This window comes from Homo sapiens, chromosome 13 (assembly GCF_000001405.40).
Source record: "Homo sapiens chromosome 13, GRCh38.p14 Primary Assembly".
Lineage (NCBI taxonomy): Eukaryota > Metazoa > Chordata > Mammalia > Primates > Hominidae > Homo > Homo sapiens.
In genome coordinates this window covers 72,998,452-73,017,851 of record NC_000013.11, presented here as the reverse complement: position 1 = coordinate 73,017,851, position 19,400 = coordinate 72,998,452, and the positions used below count along the sequence as shown (strand labels likewise).

Genomic DNA, 19,400 nt, shown 5'->3' with positions numbered 1-19,400 from the left:
GATAATGGTGGCTATTACACTTGCATTTGGGCAACATTTCATAAAACATTTATCAAGAAAAAATAATGTTATGATTAATTTTTGTTTTTATTATTTTTAAGTAAGAGCCAGGTGTGGTGACTCACACCTGTAATCTCAGCTACTGGGGAGGCTGAGGTGGGAAAATCACTTGAGCCCAGCCTGACCAACATACTGAGACCCCTGTCTCTAAAAAAGTTTAAAAGAAACTAGCCAGGTGTAGTGGTATGCACCTGTAGTTCCAGCTATTTGGGAGGCTAAGGTGGGAGGATCCCTTTTGCCCAGGAGTTTGAGGCTGCATTGAGCTATGATCATGCCACTGCACTCCAGCCTGGGTGACAGTGCAAGACCCTGTTTCTAGATAGATAGATAGATAGATAGATAGATAGATAGATAGATAGATAAACAGATAGATAAATAGAAAATCCATGACCAGGAGAAGATGAGGTAAGGGTTAAAAAGTAAGACAATTCACAATGGCCAAGAGGTAGAAGGAACCCTAGTCTTCATCCAGGACATTTTTGGCTTGTTAAAACTGGGGGTGGGACCAGGTGAGGTGGCTCACGCCTGTCATCCCAGCACTTTTGAGAAGCTGAGGAGGGAGGACTGCTTGAGCCCAGAGTTCAAGACCAGCTTGAGCAACATAGAGAGACTCTGTCTCTAAAAGAAAAAAAACCCAAAAACCAAAAAACTAGGGTTGCGGTGGGGGTGTAACTGGTAGCTAGTGCTGAAGGCCAGGGATGCTGGTATATATTATGACATGCATAGGATTTACCCTATGTCCACCCTTAAGAAAGAATTATCCAGCCCAAAATGTCAATAGTGGGCAGGGTGTGGTGGCTCATGCCTGTAATTCCAGCACTTTGGGAGGCCGAGGCAGGTGGATCACCTGAGGTCAGGAGTTCGAGACCAGCCTGGCCAACATGGTGAAACCCTGTCTCTACTAAAAATACAAAAATCAGCTGGGCGTGGTGGCGGGTGCCTGTAATCCCAGCTACTCGGGAGGCTGAGACAGAAGAACTGTCTGAACCTGGAAGGCGGAGGCTGCAGTGAGCAGAGATTACGCCACTGCACTCCAGCCTGGGCAACAAAGCAAGACTCCGTCTCAAAAAAACAAACAAACAAAATGTCAATAGTGGTTGAAAAACCTGGACATACATATATATGTGTGTGTGTATATATATATTTCTTTCCTTTTTTCCTCTCTCTTGCCTCCTTCCGTTCTTTTAAAGTATACAACTTCAATGAGAAATGGAGCATATTTTATGACAAAAGAAAATCCTATTGATTTTTTTTCTGACTAGAAATCTGATCCATATTGCATCTGGTCCAACAATGTTATGACTGATGTAGCAACAGACTTTCCACCAAATTTTCACTTTACCAATGGAATAGCAGACTTTCTGCCAGATTTTATTGGTTAATGGTAATATAAAATATAAGAAAAAAACAACTTCAAAAGAGTCAACAATCTGTATCCATCTACATGGTATCTGACCACCATTACTGGGCTTTTGAAGTACCTCGTAGTGGACTTCACAAATGATTCTTAATTTTTAAAAATGCAAAGTGTCTTAGTATTTGTGTATGACATTTAAACTCAGAATTTACGTAGTATAGAAAAATACCAAAATATTTATAAGCCACACACTTAAAATGCATTGAACATTTATGAAAGCTCCAAAATTTAAAGCATAGCATATATATTTATTTTATAAAATAGAAAAAAAAATAAAGTATATTGATTGTTCTTTACACATTTTGATTACACTGAATTTGTTAATTTAATATTAGTTCAAATAAACATTGTTATTTAAAAAATGCTGAGTACACGATTAAGCTGAATTTTGTTTTCCATCAGAAAAAGAACTTCAGGAGTATATAATGGTCTACAGGTGCTTCCCATCCAAAACACTAGGTCTTCATCTTTTGTTTCTTAGACCACTCAGGTGCTTCTTTTTTAGTCTGTTTAAAAAAAGAAAAAGAAAATCCAATAAAATGCTTACAAGGAGGACAAGAGAGGCAACTCAGAGAACTATATACATTGAGGTTTTTTTATGTAAGCTATACTAAAAAATTGCTTTTCTTAATTCAGAAAGGATACTTAAGGGCGAAGACTTTGTCTTTTGCCATAAATAATCTCCCACCTGGTAGGTATATGATAGAAAAAACTGTGTTTTCTTGCTCAAAGCCTATACTTAAGATTTTCTGGGGATGCAATTATTTTACGAATTGATTTTATTTTCAAAGAGAATTATAAAAAAATCAAGGACATGACTTCTTTTCAGTTGTCTCATCTATATAGATAATAGATATTCATTCACTCAATAGATATTTATTAAATAATTACTGTATCCAAATTATTGTGTTTTAGATCTTATGAATTTCTAAGTATTTACCAGAGTACTTCTTGGGTTTATTACTCAATCATTTCAGCCTAAAAGGCGACAGGCTGTACAGAATAGAAAGAAAAAGGCAGGGGAGGTGAATTACAGAATAAAACATTCAGAACTTCACTGATTCCAGTCAAAGTTCCTATTTTGGCTGGGCGCGGTGGCTCATGCCTGTAATCCCAGGACTTTGGGAGGTTGAGGTGGGAGGACTGCTTGAGCCCAGGAGTTCGAGACTAGCCTGGGCAACATAGTGAGACCCCATCTCCACGAAAAGAAAAAACAAGTTAGCCAGGCATGGTGGCATGCACCTGTAGTCTCAGTTAACACGGGAGATGGAGGTGAGAAGATCACTTGACGATGGGCGCGGTGGCCCATGCCTGTAATACCAGTACTTTGGGAGGCCAAGGACAGTGGATCACTTGAGGTCAGGAGTTTGAGATCAGCCTGGCCAACATGGTGAAACCCTGTTTCTACTAAAAATACAAAAAATTAGCCAGGCATGGTAGTGCACACCTGTAATCCAAGCTACTCGGGAGGCTGAGACAGGAGAATTGAACCTGGGAGGTGGAGGTTGCAGTGAGCTGAGATTGTGGTATTGCACTCCAGTCTGAGTGACAGAGCAAGACATCATGTAAAAAAAAATCACTTGGGCCCAGGAGGTCAAGGCGGCTGAAGTGAGCTGTGATCATGCCACTACACTCAAGCCTGGACAACAGAGCAAGACTGTCTTAAAAAACAATTGAGAGGAAGGTACAGAGATATCCCATATACTCTCCGGCTCCACACATGCACAGACTCTTCCATTATTAATATCCCTTAGCACAATGGTACATTTGTTACCACTGATGAACCTACACTGACATATTATCACCCTAGGTCCACAGTTTACATTTGGGTTCACTCTTGGTACTATGCATTTTATGGGTTTGGACAAATGTCTATAGACAGGCATCCACCATTATAGTATCATAATAATATATAGTATCACATAATATTTTCACTGCCCTAGAAATCCTCATAGATTTTTGCATCTACATTCATGAGAGATATTGGTCTGTAGTTTTGTTTTCCTCTAATATCTTTGATTTTGGAATTAGGGCAATGCTGGCCTTGCAAAATGAGCTGGGAAGTATTCTCTCTGCTTCTATCTAATGAAAGAGATTGTAGAGAATAGGTACAATTTTAGCTGGGTGCTGTGGCTCACACCGGGAGGCCAAGGCAGGCAGATCACTTGAGTTCAGGAGTTCAAGACCAGTCTGTGCAACATGGCAAAACTCCATCTCTACAAACAATACACAAATTAGCTGGGCATGGTGGCATGCGCCTGTAGTCCCAGCTACTAGGGAGGAAAAAGGGGGAGGGGAGGAGAGGGGAGTGGAGGGGAGGGGAGGGAAGGGAAGGGAAGGGAAGGGATTCAACAGTGAACCCATCTGGGCCTAGTGCTTTCTGTTTTGAAAAGTTATGGAATAAATTCCTTCAATTTTTGTTTTTTCACTTCTGAAAAGAATAATTTTGCAGGGTACAGAATTTTAGGTTGGTGGTTTTGTTCTTTCATAACGTTAAATGTTTCACTCCACTCTTTCCTTGCTTGCATTGTTTCTGAGAAGTCAGATGTAATCCTTACCTTTGCTTCTCTATAGGTAAGGTGTTATTTTCCTCGGGCTTCTTTCAGGATTTTTTCTTTTTCTTTTTTTTTTTTTTTTTTTTTTGAGATAGGCTCTTGCTCTGTTACCCAGGCTGGAGTGGTATGATCATGGCTAACTGTAGCCTCAACCTCTCGGGCTCAAGTGATAGTCCTGCCTCAGCCTTCCGAGTACCTGGGAATATGGGTGCATGCCATCACTCTCAGCTAATTTTTATATTTTTTATAGAGATGGGGTTTTGCCATGTTGCCCAGGCTAGGATTTTGTCTTTATCTCAATTTTCTGTAGTTTGAAAATGATATGCAAATGATATGCCTAAGTATAGTTTTTCGTTTTTTGTTTTTTTCTTTTTGCATTTATCTTTCTCTGGGTCTGTGGTTTGGTGTCTAACATTAGTTTGGGGGAAATTCTGTCACCGTTTCAAATATTTCTTCTCTTCCTTTCTTTCTTCCATCTCCTTCTAATATTTTCTTTTTTTTTTTTTTTTTTTTTTTTTTGAGACAGAGTCTCGCTCTGTCGCCCAGGCTGGAGTGCAGTGGCGCGATCTCGGCTCACTGCAAGCTCCGCCTCCCGGGTTCACGCCATTCTCCTGCCTCAGCCTCCCGAGTAGCTGGGACTACAGGTGCCCGCCACCACGCCCGGCTAATTTTTTGTATTTTTAGTAGAGACGGGGTTTCACCGTGTTAGCCAGGATGGTCTCGATCTCCTGACCTCGTGATCCGCCCGCCTCGGCCTCCCAAAGTGCTGGGATTACAGGCGTGAGCCACCGCGCCCGGCCCTTCTAATATTTTCATTAAATATATGCTATAGCTTTTGTAGTCATCCTTTAGTCCTTGGATATTTGGTGTCTGACATTAGTTTGGGGGAAATTCTGTCATTATTGTTTCAAATATTTCTTCTCTTCCTTTCTTACTTCTCTTTCTAATATTCTCATTAAATATATGCTATAGCTTTTGTAGTCATCCTTTAGTCCTTGGATATTCTCTTTTTTAGAGGTTTCTGTTACAATACCCTTATTATTATTATTATTATTATTATTGGTGGAGACAGGGTCTTGCTCTGTTGCCTAGACTACAGTGCAGTGGCATGATCATGGCTCACTGCAGCCTTGACCTTCTGGGCTCAAGCGATCCTCCCACTTCAGCTCTTCGAGTTGCTGGGACCACAGGTGTGCACCACAGTGCCTGGCTAAGTGTTTTTTTTGTTTTTTTTTGTTTTTTTTGGTGTGTGTGTGTGTGTAGACAGGGTCTCTTATGTTGCCAAGGTTGGTCTGGAACTCGAACTCCTGGGTTCAAGTGATCCTCTCACACTCCCAAAGTGCTGGGATTATAGGCATGAACCACTGTGCCTGGCCTGAAATATTCTCAAGGTTAGAGATTCTTTCTTCAGCAATGTCCACTGTACTAATCAGGTTATCAAATGCATTTGTCATTTATTTTTTTTTCTGAGACAGAGTCTCACTTTGTTGTCCAGGCTGCAGTGCAGTGGCACAATCTCGGCTCACTGCAACCTTGGCCTCCCAGGTTCAAGCAACTCTCCTGCCTCAGCCTCCCAAGTAGCTGGGATTACAGGTGCCTGCCACTACACCCAGCTAGTTTTTGTACTTTTAGTAGAGATGGGGTTTCACCATGTTGGTCAGGCTGGTCTCGACCTCCTGATCTCAGGTGATCTGCTCGCCTCGGCCTCCCAAAGCATTGGGATTACAGGTGTGAGCCACTGCACCCGGCCAGCATTTGTCGTTTCTGTTATAAGCAGTTTTGATCTCTAGTATTTCTCCTTTTTGGGGGGGTTCTTTCTTAGGATTTTCATCTTTCTGCTCACAGTGCCCATCTGTTCTTGCAAGCTGTCTACTTTATCTGTTGCAGCCCTTGGCATACTAATCATAGTTGTTTTAGGTTCTCTGTCTGTTAATTCCAACATTTATGGCACAATTGACTCTGGTTCTGATGCTTGCACTGTCTCTTCAAACTGTGTTTTTTGGTTTTTAGTCTACCTGGTTAAGTTTTTCCTGATAACTGGACATACTGTACTGGGAAAAAGAAACTGCCGTAAATGGGCCTTTGGTAATGTGGTGGTAAGGTGTGGGGGTAGGGAAGTCATCCTATGGTCCTATGATTAGGTCTCAGTCTTTCAGTTAGAGTGTGCCTCTGGAATATGAACTTTACACACGTTTCTCAGTTTTTTTTCCCTTCTTAGGTGGGCCATGATGGCTAGGTGGGCTGGATTGGGTATTGAGTTTTTCCCAGGTCAGTTAGGCTTTGATAAAGCCCCAGCAGGGTAGCTTCTAGTTAAAATAGCTTCTCCTGAAGGGAGACCTTGTTGAGAACTGAGTTCTCTAACATATTTCAAAATGTTCTTTTTTCCCTCCCACTGCTGGAAACGGAAGGGGATTTTTCTCCCAATATTTACTGTAAGAACTAGGTCAAGCTTCTAAAGTTAAAATTCACAAGAGTGTGGGGGTTCCTTCTATGACTGGAGTTTTTAACTTTCAGACTTGTCCATACCTAACTTCTAGCAGTTACATTCAGGTTTTCCTACCCCAGCACTGGTTCCCATCCATGGGATTTTTTGCTCTGATACATCATCATTCTCTGTATTGGCCTATCTGTCCAATTTTGGGGGCAGCAGTTTGCTTTGTGACCTCACTTCTCTTATGTATTTAAGAAAAGTTGGCTGGGTGTGGTGGCTCACGCCTGTAATCCCAGCACTTTGGGAGGCCAAGGTGGGGGGGATCACCTGAGGTCAGGAGTTCGAGACCAGCCTGGCCAACATGGTGAAACCCTTCTCTACTAAAAATACAAAAATTAGCCGGGTGTGGTGGCAGGCACCTGTAATCCCATCTACTTGGGAGGCTGAGGCAGGAGAATCGCTTGAACCTGGGAGGTGGAGGTTGCAGTGAGCTGAGATCACACCATTGCACTCCACCCTGGACAACAAAGAGTGAAAAACTCTGTCTCAAAAAAAAAAAAAAAAAAAAAAAAAAAAAAGAAAAGTTAATGATTTTCCAGCTCAGCTTTTTATTTGTTGTTAAGATAAGGAAAAGTCAGAGTAAAACTAGGGAATTGCATGATTCTTATACAATCAGATAGATTTGGGTGACTGGGAAAGGTGAGCCAGCTAAAAGTCTAGGGCTGTCACTATTCTTGGTCATAGAAGAACATGTATGCCATTGTTCTTTATTTATTTATTTATTTTCAGATGAAGTCTCATTCCGTTGCCCAGGCTGGAGTGCAGTCACGCAATCTCGGCCCACTGCAACCTCCGCCTCCCAGGTTCAAGCAATTCTCCTGCCTCAGCCTCCCGAGTAGCTGGGACTACAGGCATGCACCACCACCCCTGGCTAATTTTTGTATTTTTAATAGAGATGGGGTTTCACCATGTTAGCCAGGCTGGTCTGGAACTCCTGACCTCAGGTGATTCGCCTGCCTCGGCCTCCCAAAGTGCTAGGATTACAGGTGTGAGCCACAGCACCCGGCCACCATTGTTCTTTAAATTGCAGGTCCCAACCCACGGGTAATGAACTCTAGTAGGTAAAAGAACAGAATTTAGAAAAAAAAAAAAAAAAAAACTAGCATAGAAAATATTAGAGTATTGGCCATAGTGGGGGTAAGTTCTGTTTTGAGAAACTGTGTGATCATTACTAGGTCATAACGTAAATTGTTTTCTCAACTGTGACTCCTGGCCAAAAAGGTGAAAGCAACTGCTATAAACTAAGCTACAGATCCTCGGGATTATACCAAAGGATGCAGAATTGGTTTGTACATTTGCATTTCCTCAATGAACTGATACTAAACTTTTTACTACTACTATGTGTTTACAGGGAGAAGGTAAATAAAAACTTTGGCATTAAAAAGGAATCTTAATACTCAAAAAGGACGGTATAAGAATTTCAATGGCAGACAGTTCTTTCTGACTCTCCTTTTATCTGTGTCTGCTACACTGCAGACCATTACTCCCACCCCTAATATGTTTTCTCCTCCTGTTAATGAGACAGATTTGCCACAGTCAAGTGTACCTTGTCTTGGGGATTAACTGCCTTGCTACTTCATAGGGTGACTTTTCAGATGTCTTATCACAACCATTTTAATTTCAAAGTCTGTTCCCATAGGACTAAGATATGTTCCTTATTCCCAGGTTATTTTGGGTGAACTTCACCATCACTGTCATGTTCTAACCACATTTCACTTAGAAGACTGGCCCCTTTAGGATCTGGCCCATACTTACATATCTAATCCTATTTCTTGACACTCTCCAACATGAACTCAATTATTTGTACTTGGGATTAGTTTAATAGCATTTATTTGACTAACTACTCTGTGCCAGTCCTTGTGTTAGGTTCTGGGGATATAAAAATGAATCAAACCCTGTTACAGAGGCTGCTGGGATCACGCCTCGACCTTTTGGCTGAGATCAAGTGCAGAGGTTGCTGGCTGTCTAGCCTATATCTATTTCACCCTTCTTAATAACAGAACTCTGATTTTATCAGTAAAGCAATAGATTCACCCTGTATAAAACATTTATCAGCCTTCCTTGCTGCTAGGTGTGGCCACACGACTAAGTTCTGGCCAATGGGATATAAGCTGAAGATGTTGGGTAGGACTTAGGGAAAAACTCCTTTGGAAAGGGAGACTATTTTCCTCCCTTTTTCTCGCTTCCCGCTTAAAATGCAGACATGATGGCTGAGGCCAGAGCAACCATATTGTGATTCTAAGAACAGATGCCACACTCTAAGGATGGTTGAAGAGAAAGGAAGAGGGAATCTAGGTTCCTGATGACTTCATAGGGCCACATACTTGTCCTGAAATAGTTATCTCCAGGCCTGTATGTGAGAGACTGAACAATTTGCTAAAGCTGCTGAACTAGCAGTGGGACACAATTCCTAAAGATGCTGACTCTTATACTCTTAGTTTATACCATTTATCTTATCTCATGTTGTATCTTCAGCATGCAGGGAAGTGTCTCGCCAGCAGTAGGTGTTCGATGTCATGCCTTCTTTGATTTTTGTGGTTTGAGCACCGTATAGTACAGTGGTTAAAGCACAGGTTCTAGCCATTTATTAATTTTGCAAAGTGGGCAAATCGAGGACTTCTCAGTTACCTCATACATTTTCTCCATAGCATTTGTCATGTTTTCACATCTTATTCAATTTATTTTTTTGTTTGTCGGTTTATAGTCTATCTCTATCCATGAATGTAAGATCCACAGAGGCAGGAATTATTTATATCTCTACTGCTTGGAATAGTACTTGGCACAAAGTAAGTGCTCAATAAACATTTTTCAATGAATGAATGAATGTTTGGGTCTGCTGTGACAGAAGCCTTTCAGTTCTATTTAAGTCTGGGCATAAAGTTTCATGTGAGTCTATTCAAGCCTTTCTACTATGCAAGACAAAAGAGAATTCTACTACAGTAATGCAATAATATGCTTTTAACTAATCAGGCAACATCACCCTTTACAAGCATCAGGGGTAGTACTTGTGATTCTAAGCAACAGCCTGATTTTTGAGTGGAAATGGTAAATAACCAGTAAGGCATGGAAACAGCATATTTTGCTGTATGAACTCAAATTTACTTATATCATTCAAAGATATTTTCAATCCTTCGATTGGTGAACTTTTTCCTTCGGTTATATTATTCTCTGAAATTCAGGTTCTCTGTTAATTACATTAGCATAGAGTATGTCAGAGTGATTTCTCACCTACATTAGTATGTAAGTCTCATCACTACCAAAATTTGAACAGATTCCAAGTAGATAATACTGCTTCTGAAAAGTTTATTTCTGATTTTCATAAAATGTATATTCTTCATTTCCAGATATTTTAGTCAGTAATGTGCTAGCCATTAGTGATAGCCCTGTTCCAAACACTGGAAGTTTCTAAGCTTTTATCAACTCCTGAGATAGATCATGGATCAGTAAACTATGGTCCATGGTCTGTTCTTGTATGGGGTGCATGCTAAGAATGGTTTTGACATTTTTTTTTTTTTTTTTGAGATGGAGTTTGGCTCTTGTTGCCCAGGCTGGAGTGCAACAGTGCGATCTTGTCTCACTGCAACCTCTGCCTCTTGGGTTCAAGCGATTCTCCTGCCTCAGCCTCCCGAGTAGCTAGGATTACAGGCGTGCGCCACCACGCCCGGCTAATTTTGTATTTTTAGTAGAGATGGGGTTTCTCCATGTTGGTCAGGCTGGTCTTGAACTCTCGACCTGAGGTGATCTGCCCGCCTTGGCCTCCCAAAGTGCTGGGATTACAGGCGTGAGCCACTGCGCCTGGCCTAGTTTAAAAGGTAAAAAACAAACGAACAAAGAATATACAATAGAGTTTGCTGGCTCTTGGTAACTGATTGTTAAAATGGGCACAGCAAAATAATTCAGATGTATAATTAACTGATTTTTGGAGAACTGCTTGAACCCAGGAGGTGGAGGCTGCAGTCAGCCAAGATTGCGCCACTGCACTCCAGCCTGGGTGACAGAGTGAGACTCCATCTCAAAAAAAAAAAAAAACAAAAACAAAAATTAACTGCTTTTTATTTTGATAATTCCATTCTTTTAGCTCTTTGATCAGCAGTGTTTCTTTTTTCTATTTTATTAAAGTTACTTCCCTTTATATCCATAAGATGGTGCTTTATATGACAAAATTTGACATTCTGCTTCAGGTATTAATGGGATTAACCATTTAACTGAGTAGGGTCCTTATTTTAAATATAAGGCTTATAGGCTTCATAATATGAAGTGCTTTACAGATATATATAAACTATATATGCATATATATTTTACATACACATTATATATATATATATGTATACAAATTAATAAAAACCTTAAATTGTTAGTGGAGTATTAACAGGCCCTAAAGTATACTATATTCCAGATTTAGGAAAGAGAGCACAAAGCCATTGCAGAAACAAATGACAAGACTAACTGGAAACTTACCAGAAGTAATTTACTATGTTACAAGGTGATTTTGGAAACAAATAACTGATAAGATAGATACTTCTGTGTCACCCAGAATTAGCCAGCTAAAACGTTAATATATAACATGGGGATTATAACCCATTGAGAGGGTTAGTTAAAATTAGAAAGAATGATGACTGATAAATGCAGACATAGTAAGCCTGGCAGATTACTCCTGTAATCTAAAAAAAGAGCTAGAAATTAAGAATCTATTAGTGTTTAACCAGTACCACTTCTCTAAGGAAAAAAAATCTATGTCTGGTAGATATCATTACTTTGTTTTCCAAATAAGATATAAACTGGAAATCAAATAAGTAAATATTGAGAAGTCCTCATAGGCAGGGCCCAACTTAAGTGAGTTTAAGACAGTTGATCTGGCTTTATCACTAACAAAATGTGAAGCTGTCTGAGATCAGTCAGCTTCGTTCCATGCTCACCAAAAAATTCCTGATTTCTAGTTTAGCTCACCAGCTAAATTAAATAACATCAGGAAGAGGTTACAATTAGTGTTCCTGACACTAGAAATTAAAAAATGAATATTTAAAAATGTATATGTAAACAGCTAGATATTTTGAGGTCCGGTCATACTTTGGTGAGATGAGTCTACATTCAACATAAAAAAGTGAGACCGGGCCAGGCGTGGTGGCTTATGCCTGTAATCCCAGCACTTTGGGAGGCCGAGGTGGGCAGATCACTTGAGGTCAAGAGTTCGAGACCAGCATGGCCAATATGGTGAAACCCCGTCTTTACTAAAAACACAAAAATTATTGGGCATGGTGGTGCGTCCCTGTAATCCCAGCTACTCAGGAGGCTGAGGTGGGAGAATTGCTTGAACCCAGGAGACGGAGGTTGCAGTGAGCCGAGTTTGCACCATTGCACTCCAGCCTGGGCGACAGAGCAAGACTCCATTTCAAAAAAAAAAAAAAAAAAGTGAAACCAGAACTTCTAAACACAAATATGACACAGAAGTGTTACAGGTATGTGGAGCTTTTGTTCTCCTCAGTCCCCAGTGCCTGGGGTGGCTGGAGTCCCTTCAATCTACCAGCAAGTTCAGTTATCCTGTTGTGCCATAGAAATATTATAATTTTCCATGTGTGTTATAAAAAATGTTGGGAGGCACAGTGTTAGGACATGATTCTGTGATGACGCTACCCTAGTGTGGCATCCTTGTCACTTGTCTAAACACAACCAATTGTACTCATTATATTACTATATTATAAATAACTGCTACGTTCCATTTTTGATAAAATTATAAACTTTCCCTCATGAATAAATGAGAAAAATTATTTTTGTAACCTACTTACAATTTTTAAATTAAATTAAAAATTTAAATTTATTTTTTATTTTATATTTCATCATTTTATATATATTATTTTGAGACAGGGTCTTGTTCTGCCATCCAGGGTTGAGGGCAGTGGCGTGAACATGGCTCACTGCAGCCCCAACCTCCTGGGCTCATGTGATCCTCCCACCTCAGACTCCCAAGTAGCTTAGCATCATAGGCACATACCACCATGCCTGGCTAATTTAAAAAAAAAATTTTTTTTTTTTTTTTGGTAAAGGTAGGATCTCACAAAAGTTTTTGCCCAGGCTTTAAAAAGTTTTTAAAAAGAAGATTGTGGTAAAATACATATAACATAAGATTTATCCCATTAACTATTTTTATTTTTATTTGAGATGGAGTTTCACTCTTGTTGCCCAGGCTAGAGTGCAACGACGTGATCTCGGCTCATCACAACCTCCCCCTCCCAGGTTCAAGTGATTCTCCTGCCTCAGCCTCGGGATTACAGGCATGCACCACCACGCTTGGCTAATTTTTGTATTTTTAGTAGAGACGGGATTTCTCCATGTTGGTCAGGCTGGTCTCCAACTCCTGATCTCAGGTGATCCCCACACCTTGGCCTCCCAAAGTGCTGGGATTACAGGTGTGAGCCACAGTGCCCGGCCAACCATTTTTAAATGTACATATCAGTGGTATTACTTACATTCACATTACGATGCAACTATCACTACTGTCCATCCATAGAACTCTTTTCATCTTGCTTGACTGAAACTCTCTACTTGTTAAACAATAAATCCCCATACCCCCTAGCCCCTGACAACCACCACTCTACTTTCTGTCTCTATTAATATGACTAGGTATAACCTATCTACTTTTATTTCCCTTTTGTACTATGGGAAAGGATTAACAGATAGTGAATTGGCCAAAGTCAGACGTAAGAATATAGTAAGAAAGGAATAAAGTCTAGATATAGAAAATACATATTAGACATCCTATTCTTCAACAATTAAAAAGGAGCACAAGTTAGAAAATATTTTGTGAATATCACATTTTCTTTTCTTTCTTTTTTTTTTTTTTTGAGACAGAATCTCGCTCTTCACACAGGCTGCAGTGCAGTGGCACAATCTCGGCTCAATGCAACCTCCGCCTCCTGGGTTCAAGTGATTCACTTGTCTCAGCCTCCTGAGTAGCTGGGATTACGGGTGCCTGCCACCACACCTGGCTAATTTTTGTATTTTTAGTAGAGATGAGGTTTCACCATGTTGGCCAGGATGGTCTCAAACTCCTGATCTCAGGTGAGCCGCCCACCTCGGCCTCCCAAAGTGTTGGGAGTACAGGCGTGAGCCACCGCGCCTGGCCAATATCATATTTTCTTTGCTCTTGGAATTTCTAAATAATGCTCATCTTCACTTGTCAAAATCCATGCATTCTTTAAAGCCAAGCTCAAATACTTCCTTTCTGACAAGGCAACCTAGAGTCCTCCAAAACCACAGTGTCTATTCTTTCTCTGAATTTTCATAGCAATTTGTATTTCCTTTAAAGTAGGATACCCAGGCCAGGTGCAGTGGCTGATGACTATAATCCCAGCACTTTGAGATTATAGCCATGGTGGGAGGATTGCTTGAGCCCAGGAGTTCAAGACCAGCCTGAGCAATGCAGTGAGACCCTGTCTCTACAAAAAATAAAGAAAAATAGCTGGGTGTGGTGGTGTGCACATGTGGTCTCAGCTATTTGGGAGGCTGAGTTGGGAGGATCACTTGAGCCTGGGAGATTGAGGCTGCAGTGAGCCGTGTTCATGCCACTGCACTCCAGCCTAGGTGACAGAGCAAGACCGTGTCTCAAAAATAAAACAAAAAAAGTAGGCTAACTGATTTTGCCTTATATTATTGTTTACTAAGCTTGATCCTATAGGAGCAGCAGTTTTAATGCTGATGCTGTCTTAATGATCATCACAGGCTCTTGCATATAGTCAGTAAATGCTTCTTGAATTGACTACACTAATTTTCCTTCCAGGCCAGGTGCGGTGGCTCACACCTGTAATCCCAGCACTTTGGGAGGCCAAGGTGGGTGAATCATCTGAGGTCAGGAGTTTGGAGACCAGCCTGGCCAACATGGTGAAACCCCGTCTCTACAAAAAAATACAAAAAATTAGCGGGGCATGGTGGCATGTGCCTGTAATCCCAACTGCTCAGGAGGCTGAGGCAAGAGAACTGCTTGAACCCAGGAGGCGGAGGTTGCAGTGAGCCAAGACTATGCCACTGCCCTCTAGCTTGGGCGACAGCGTGAGACTCTGTCTCAAAAAAAAAAAAAATTTTTTTTTCTTTCCAGATGACATATAGCTTTCCAAAGCTCTTCTAGGGAATCATGTCGTTCATATAACCACTTATGTATCAATTATATAAACTTAATCTATCTATACAACATATGCTAGCCAATGAGATAACAAATGTAAGTCAAGGCCTGAACTACGTCGTAAACTCACCAAAAATCAGACACTTCACACACTATACACTGGAGGTGCACAATCGTATTGTTTGCTACCATACTTAGAGCCTAAGGCTTTTTTTTTTTTTTTTTTTTTTTTGAGACCAGAGTCTTGCTGTGTCGTCCAGGCTGGAGTGTGGAGGCATGATCTTGGCTCATGCAACCTCCACCTCCCAGGTCCAAGTGATTCTCCTGCCTCAGCCTCCCAGGTAGCTGGGACTACAGGCATGCACCACCACACCTGAATAATTTTGGTATTTTTAGTAGAGACGGGATTTCAGTATGTTGGCCAGGCTGGTCTCGAACTCCTTACCTCAGGTGATCCGTCTGCCTCGGCCTCTCAAAGTGCTGGGATTACAGGTGTGAGCCACTGCGCCCAAGCTCTTTTTTGTTTTAATGCTTACAATCTACTTGGTGAAAAGACTAAAAGTAGAGTTGCTAGTATCTGCATTTTTAATAAGGTATTGAGAAAATAATGACAATGATGTGAATCCTGAGTATAAATTCTATTTTCGAATAGGATGGCAGCAGAAAAGCAGCAAAAGAGTCCCATACTGCTCAGGAAGGAAAGAGGAAAGTTGTTCTAAATCAGATTAGAATAGCTCTAGGTTTTTCTAAGAAAGAGATAAGTGAGGCTGGGAAAAAAGGGATAGCACAGCAAAAAGCTACCTTAAGAGTGAAAGTAGGTGATTAGTGGGAATGAACTGGGTGTTTCTGAATAAAGAAGACTTAAGTTGCCTGTTGCAGAAGTAGCACTAACTAGAGTCATGGGAGGTGAAGCTTTCATTCTCCCTGTAGTTTACTTTAACATTAAAGTTCCCCACCCAGTTTAGAGTTTTAACAGCTAAGAACATAACTAAACTGGGGAGACAAATAACTCCTTTTTTTCTCTTCAGCAAATATTTATTGAGTATCTGCTTTGTTCAGATGCTATGCAAAACAAAAGGAATACAGTTTCTGTCCTTAAGGCACTTACATTCTGTGGTTCAATTAGTTTTTGTTGGTACACTAAGTGCCTGAACAATGACTCTGTCACATATGTCATTTCAAAGGCCAGAGCTTTTCTAAAAAAGGGAATTTTGAGGTTGCCTTCAGATGTAAATATCACTTGTACACTGTAAAACATTTGTATACATATAAAAAAGCACATTAAAAAAAGTCTTGTCAGGTGCTGTGGCTCACGCCTGTAATCCCAACACTTTGGGAAGCCGAGGTGGGCAGATCACGAGGTCAGGAGTTTGAGACCAGCCTGACCAACATGGTGAAACCTTGCCTCTACTGAAAATACAAAAATCAGCTGGGCGTTGTGGCACATGCCTGTAATCCCAGCTACTCAGGAGGATGAGGCAGGAGAATCACTTGAACCTGGGAGGCAGAGGTTGCAGTAAGCTGAGATCACGCCACTGCACTCCAGCCTGGGCGACAGAGTGAGAGACTCCATCTCCAAAAAAAAAAAAAGTCTTCAGAAGAAGACCTAAGTGTCAAAAAAAAAAAAAAAAAAGTCAAGCTCTTATTTCTCCTCCTCTGCGTCACAGCACTGCTCCCACTCCATTACCCAGTTAACAGTAGTTTTGTGTGGCTCGCCTCATATTGTCAATGCATATGGAAACGCTCATCCATCCACCCATCCATCACTGAATTTACTATCAGGGGAAAATACCTATAGCAAATACTTTCAGCCAAAGGATCTGGATTTAGAAATGTTTTCATTTTAGGTATAAAACCATGAGATTATAAAATGATTAGCTCTTACTTCAAATATTAGCGTGGTAAATTCCTTATCAACAAGTTCAGAGAAAATATAAAAAAGTATTCTTATGGAAAATTGAAAATATTCAAAAGAATAACTAAAAATTATGATGCCTGAAGAGAATCATAGCATGCTAGAATAAAAGGAGTCCAGAACTCATTTCATTATAACCTCCCACTTAATTTTATAGATAAGAACACATTGAGAACATTTAATGATTTGCCCCAGGTTATCTAGTCGGTTCACCTTACTAATTCTGCATTAGCTTACAGTCTTTGATTTGACTTGTTTGTAGTATTACCTCTCAGTTTTCATTAGGACATAGCTGAGCTTGTACCTCTTTTGAAAAAAATTTCCCTTATTATTATTTAAAAAGAATTTTATTGTAGAATAAAATAGAAAATCCAGATAAGCAAAAATAAGGAAGGAAGAACTACCCAACTAATATTGAATCTTCTTAATTTTATCATCACTGCATAACCTTATCTGGAGGTACTGGGGAAATCTTATTGTTACTCATGTACTGATTGATTATAGCCGGTATTCCAGAAAATCACAATCAGGTTACCAAGCTAAAGCTAGAAATGCAGAAGGTCAGGGTCAGAAGGAATAGTGCCACTGCCTGGAGCAGAGTAGGATCAGAAAGGCAGATCAGAGAGTGCTGACAGGCTTTAAGTATTCAGCTGTATCTTGTGGTTTTCATCTGACCCTATTTCCCATTAATGTGTATGTATTCAATCTGCTTTCTTCCTATAGATTATAATAGACACAGCATAGTGTCTGCCACAATCTCTGCCCACTCTCTGAGCAAAACCTGCCTAGCCATAGCCCTTAATAAACAGTCCTCGGCAGCTGTATTTGGAACTGTGTGACTCCTGCTCACCATTAAGGGCAGCCATTCTGTAGGCTGGGTAATAAGCTTAGGAAGTCTTGCCAAAAAGGGGTATCACCCAACAAGAATTAGCTATGCCAATTAGATTGTTAGTCTTGGAAAATACAGGGAGAACTACATTATAAGAGAGTAGATGCAGAAAGGATGTACAGAAACCTGTTTCAAGACAAAGGGCTGTGAGCAAGTTAATGAGGAAGTGGAAAACATGAGTAAGCAGAAACTAGAGGAGAAACAAAGAGAAGCTGATGTACTACAGAGGAAAAGATGCATGGACTCAGCCGCCTTGTGTCCAGGCTAGTCAACTGAGCCATCCTGTTTTCTCCCGCCTGTCAGCTTAGTCTACATTACTGCCACACGTATCCTTAAAATAATTGTCCCTTATTTTATTTTATTTTATTTTTTGAGGCAGAGTTTCACTCTCTCGCCAAGGTGGTGAATGCAGTGGTGCCATCGCACCGACAATTCTCCTGCCTGTCTCCCAAGTAGCTGGGACTACAGGCGTGTGCCACCACACCCGGGTAATTTTTGTATTTTTAGTAGGGATAGGGTTTCACCATGTTGGCCAGCCTGGTCTTGAACTCCTGACCTCAGGTGATCCTCCCACTTTGGCCTCCCAAAGTGCTGGGATTAGAGGTGTGAGCCACCATGTCTGCCCAATTGTCTCTTATTTGATCTAAACTGCAACTTTCATTTTTTTAAAAAGGGAGGTTGAATTATATAATCACTAAAAAATCTCTTTCATCCTATTAATCTTCAGTAGCATTATCTGCATGTATAATAAAATGACTGAGATCAGAAGTTCTCATATTTGACTATTATATTCAACTTGGGAGTTAAAAAAATTAAGATTCTGGGGACTCACTGAATCAGAATATCAGAGAAAATCTTTCTGGTTTTGAGTCTCTATGTTTAGCAGATAAAAATCATGTTTCTCCTGAGAAATGAAAGCATGATTGAGAAACCATTTGAAGTAAAATGGAATATTTAATAATGTTACTCCTATTTTAATTCTCTTGCCTTTTAATCTTGATTCTTATTATTTGTTAAAATATATAGTTTTCAATATTTCCTAATTTATTTTCTCTATTTTTAAAAATTGGCACATAATAACTGTACATATTTTTGGTATTTTACCTTTTAATCCAAATTTTTCTTATTTCTTTTTCTTTAATTTCTGTGCACATATATTTTTAGCTAACAATGCATTTCAGTTTATGTTAATTGATTTCACACTTTATGAGGAATTACAGTAAAATATACTATCATCTATAAGATAGGTAATATACACATTTAGAAAATGGATTAATGCAAATCCTTCAAGGTCTTTTCATGAAACATATTTGTGGAATCTACTCATTTCATAAATGTAAAAGGAAAAAATTAACTAAAATACATTTAGTAAGAATCAGGAATATTAAAATTATGAGTTTTAAAAATTGTACTTACAAAGAGTGTTGGTTTAGGTGTAAATATATTGTCTTCATGCTCTTTAGGCACATTCAAAGTCTTTGATTTCTGATTTTCTGTCACATGTTTTGGTTCTGTTTTAGTGAGAAGTAAGCTGTTCTCAGAATGTTTACTATGCATCTTAACGAGAATCTGTTTCATTGCTGCCAATTCCTGTTGATATATGAAAACAGAAGAAAGTAGCAAGAGTGATTTTAGCAAGCAGACTAATAATGATTAATATTAAAATATTTTTAAGTAGAAGAAACAATTATACTACACACATAAGTTGTGAAAATAAAATAGTAATTAGAATCATGCACATGAATCTTTTGATCATTAATACTCATTTAATATAACTGACAATTACAACATTCTATAGTCTAGTGGTTTCCACGTTTTTCTGCACACTGAAATCACCTGTGGAGCTTCAAATATTGCCAGTGATGACTGTGTCCCAACCCCAGAGACTGTGAGATAATTGATGTGGTGTGGCCTGGGCTTTGGAATTTTTTTTTTTTTTTAGATAGGATCTCACTGTCAC

General features: G+C 39.8%; 1 protein-coding gene across 9 annotated transcripts in view; it reads right to left on the bottom strand.

The window, feature by feature from the left end:
* Nucleotides 1,391–19,400, bottom strand: part of PIBF1 (progesterone immunomodulatory binding factor 1) — a 234,329-nt gene continuing 216,319 nt past the window's right edge. For 7 of the 9 annotated variants that reach the window (NR_146205.2, NR_146206.2, NM_001349655.2 and 4 more), the window contains 2 exons: nt 18,857–19,030; nt 1,391–1,983 (listed from right to left, as the gene is read on the bottom strand). Coding sequence is in view for 7 of the 9 variants with exons in the window: in NM_001349655.2 (NP_001336584.1) it covers nt 1,933–1,983; nt 18,857–19,030 (225 nt within the window). In the remaining 2 variants the exon portion in view is untranslated. Of the gene's footprint in view, nt 1,984–18,856; nt 19,031–19,400 lie in introns of those variants that run through there. The other 2 variants (XM_047430045.1, XM_047430047.1) reach the window with 1 other exon arrangement.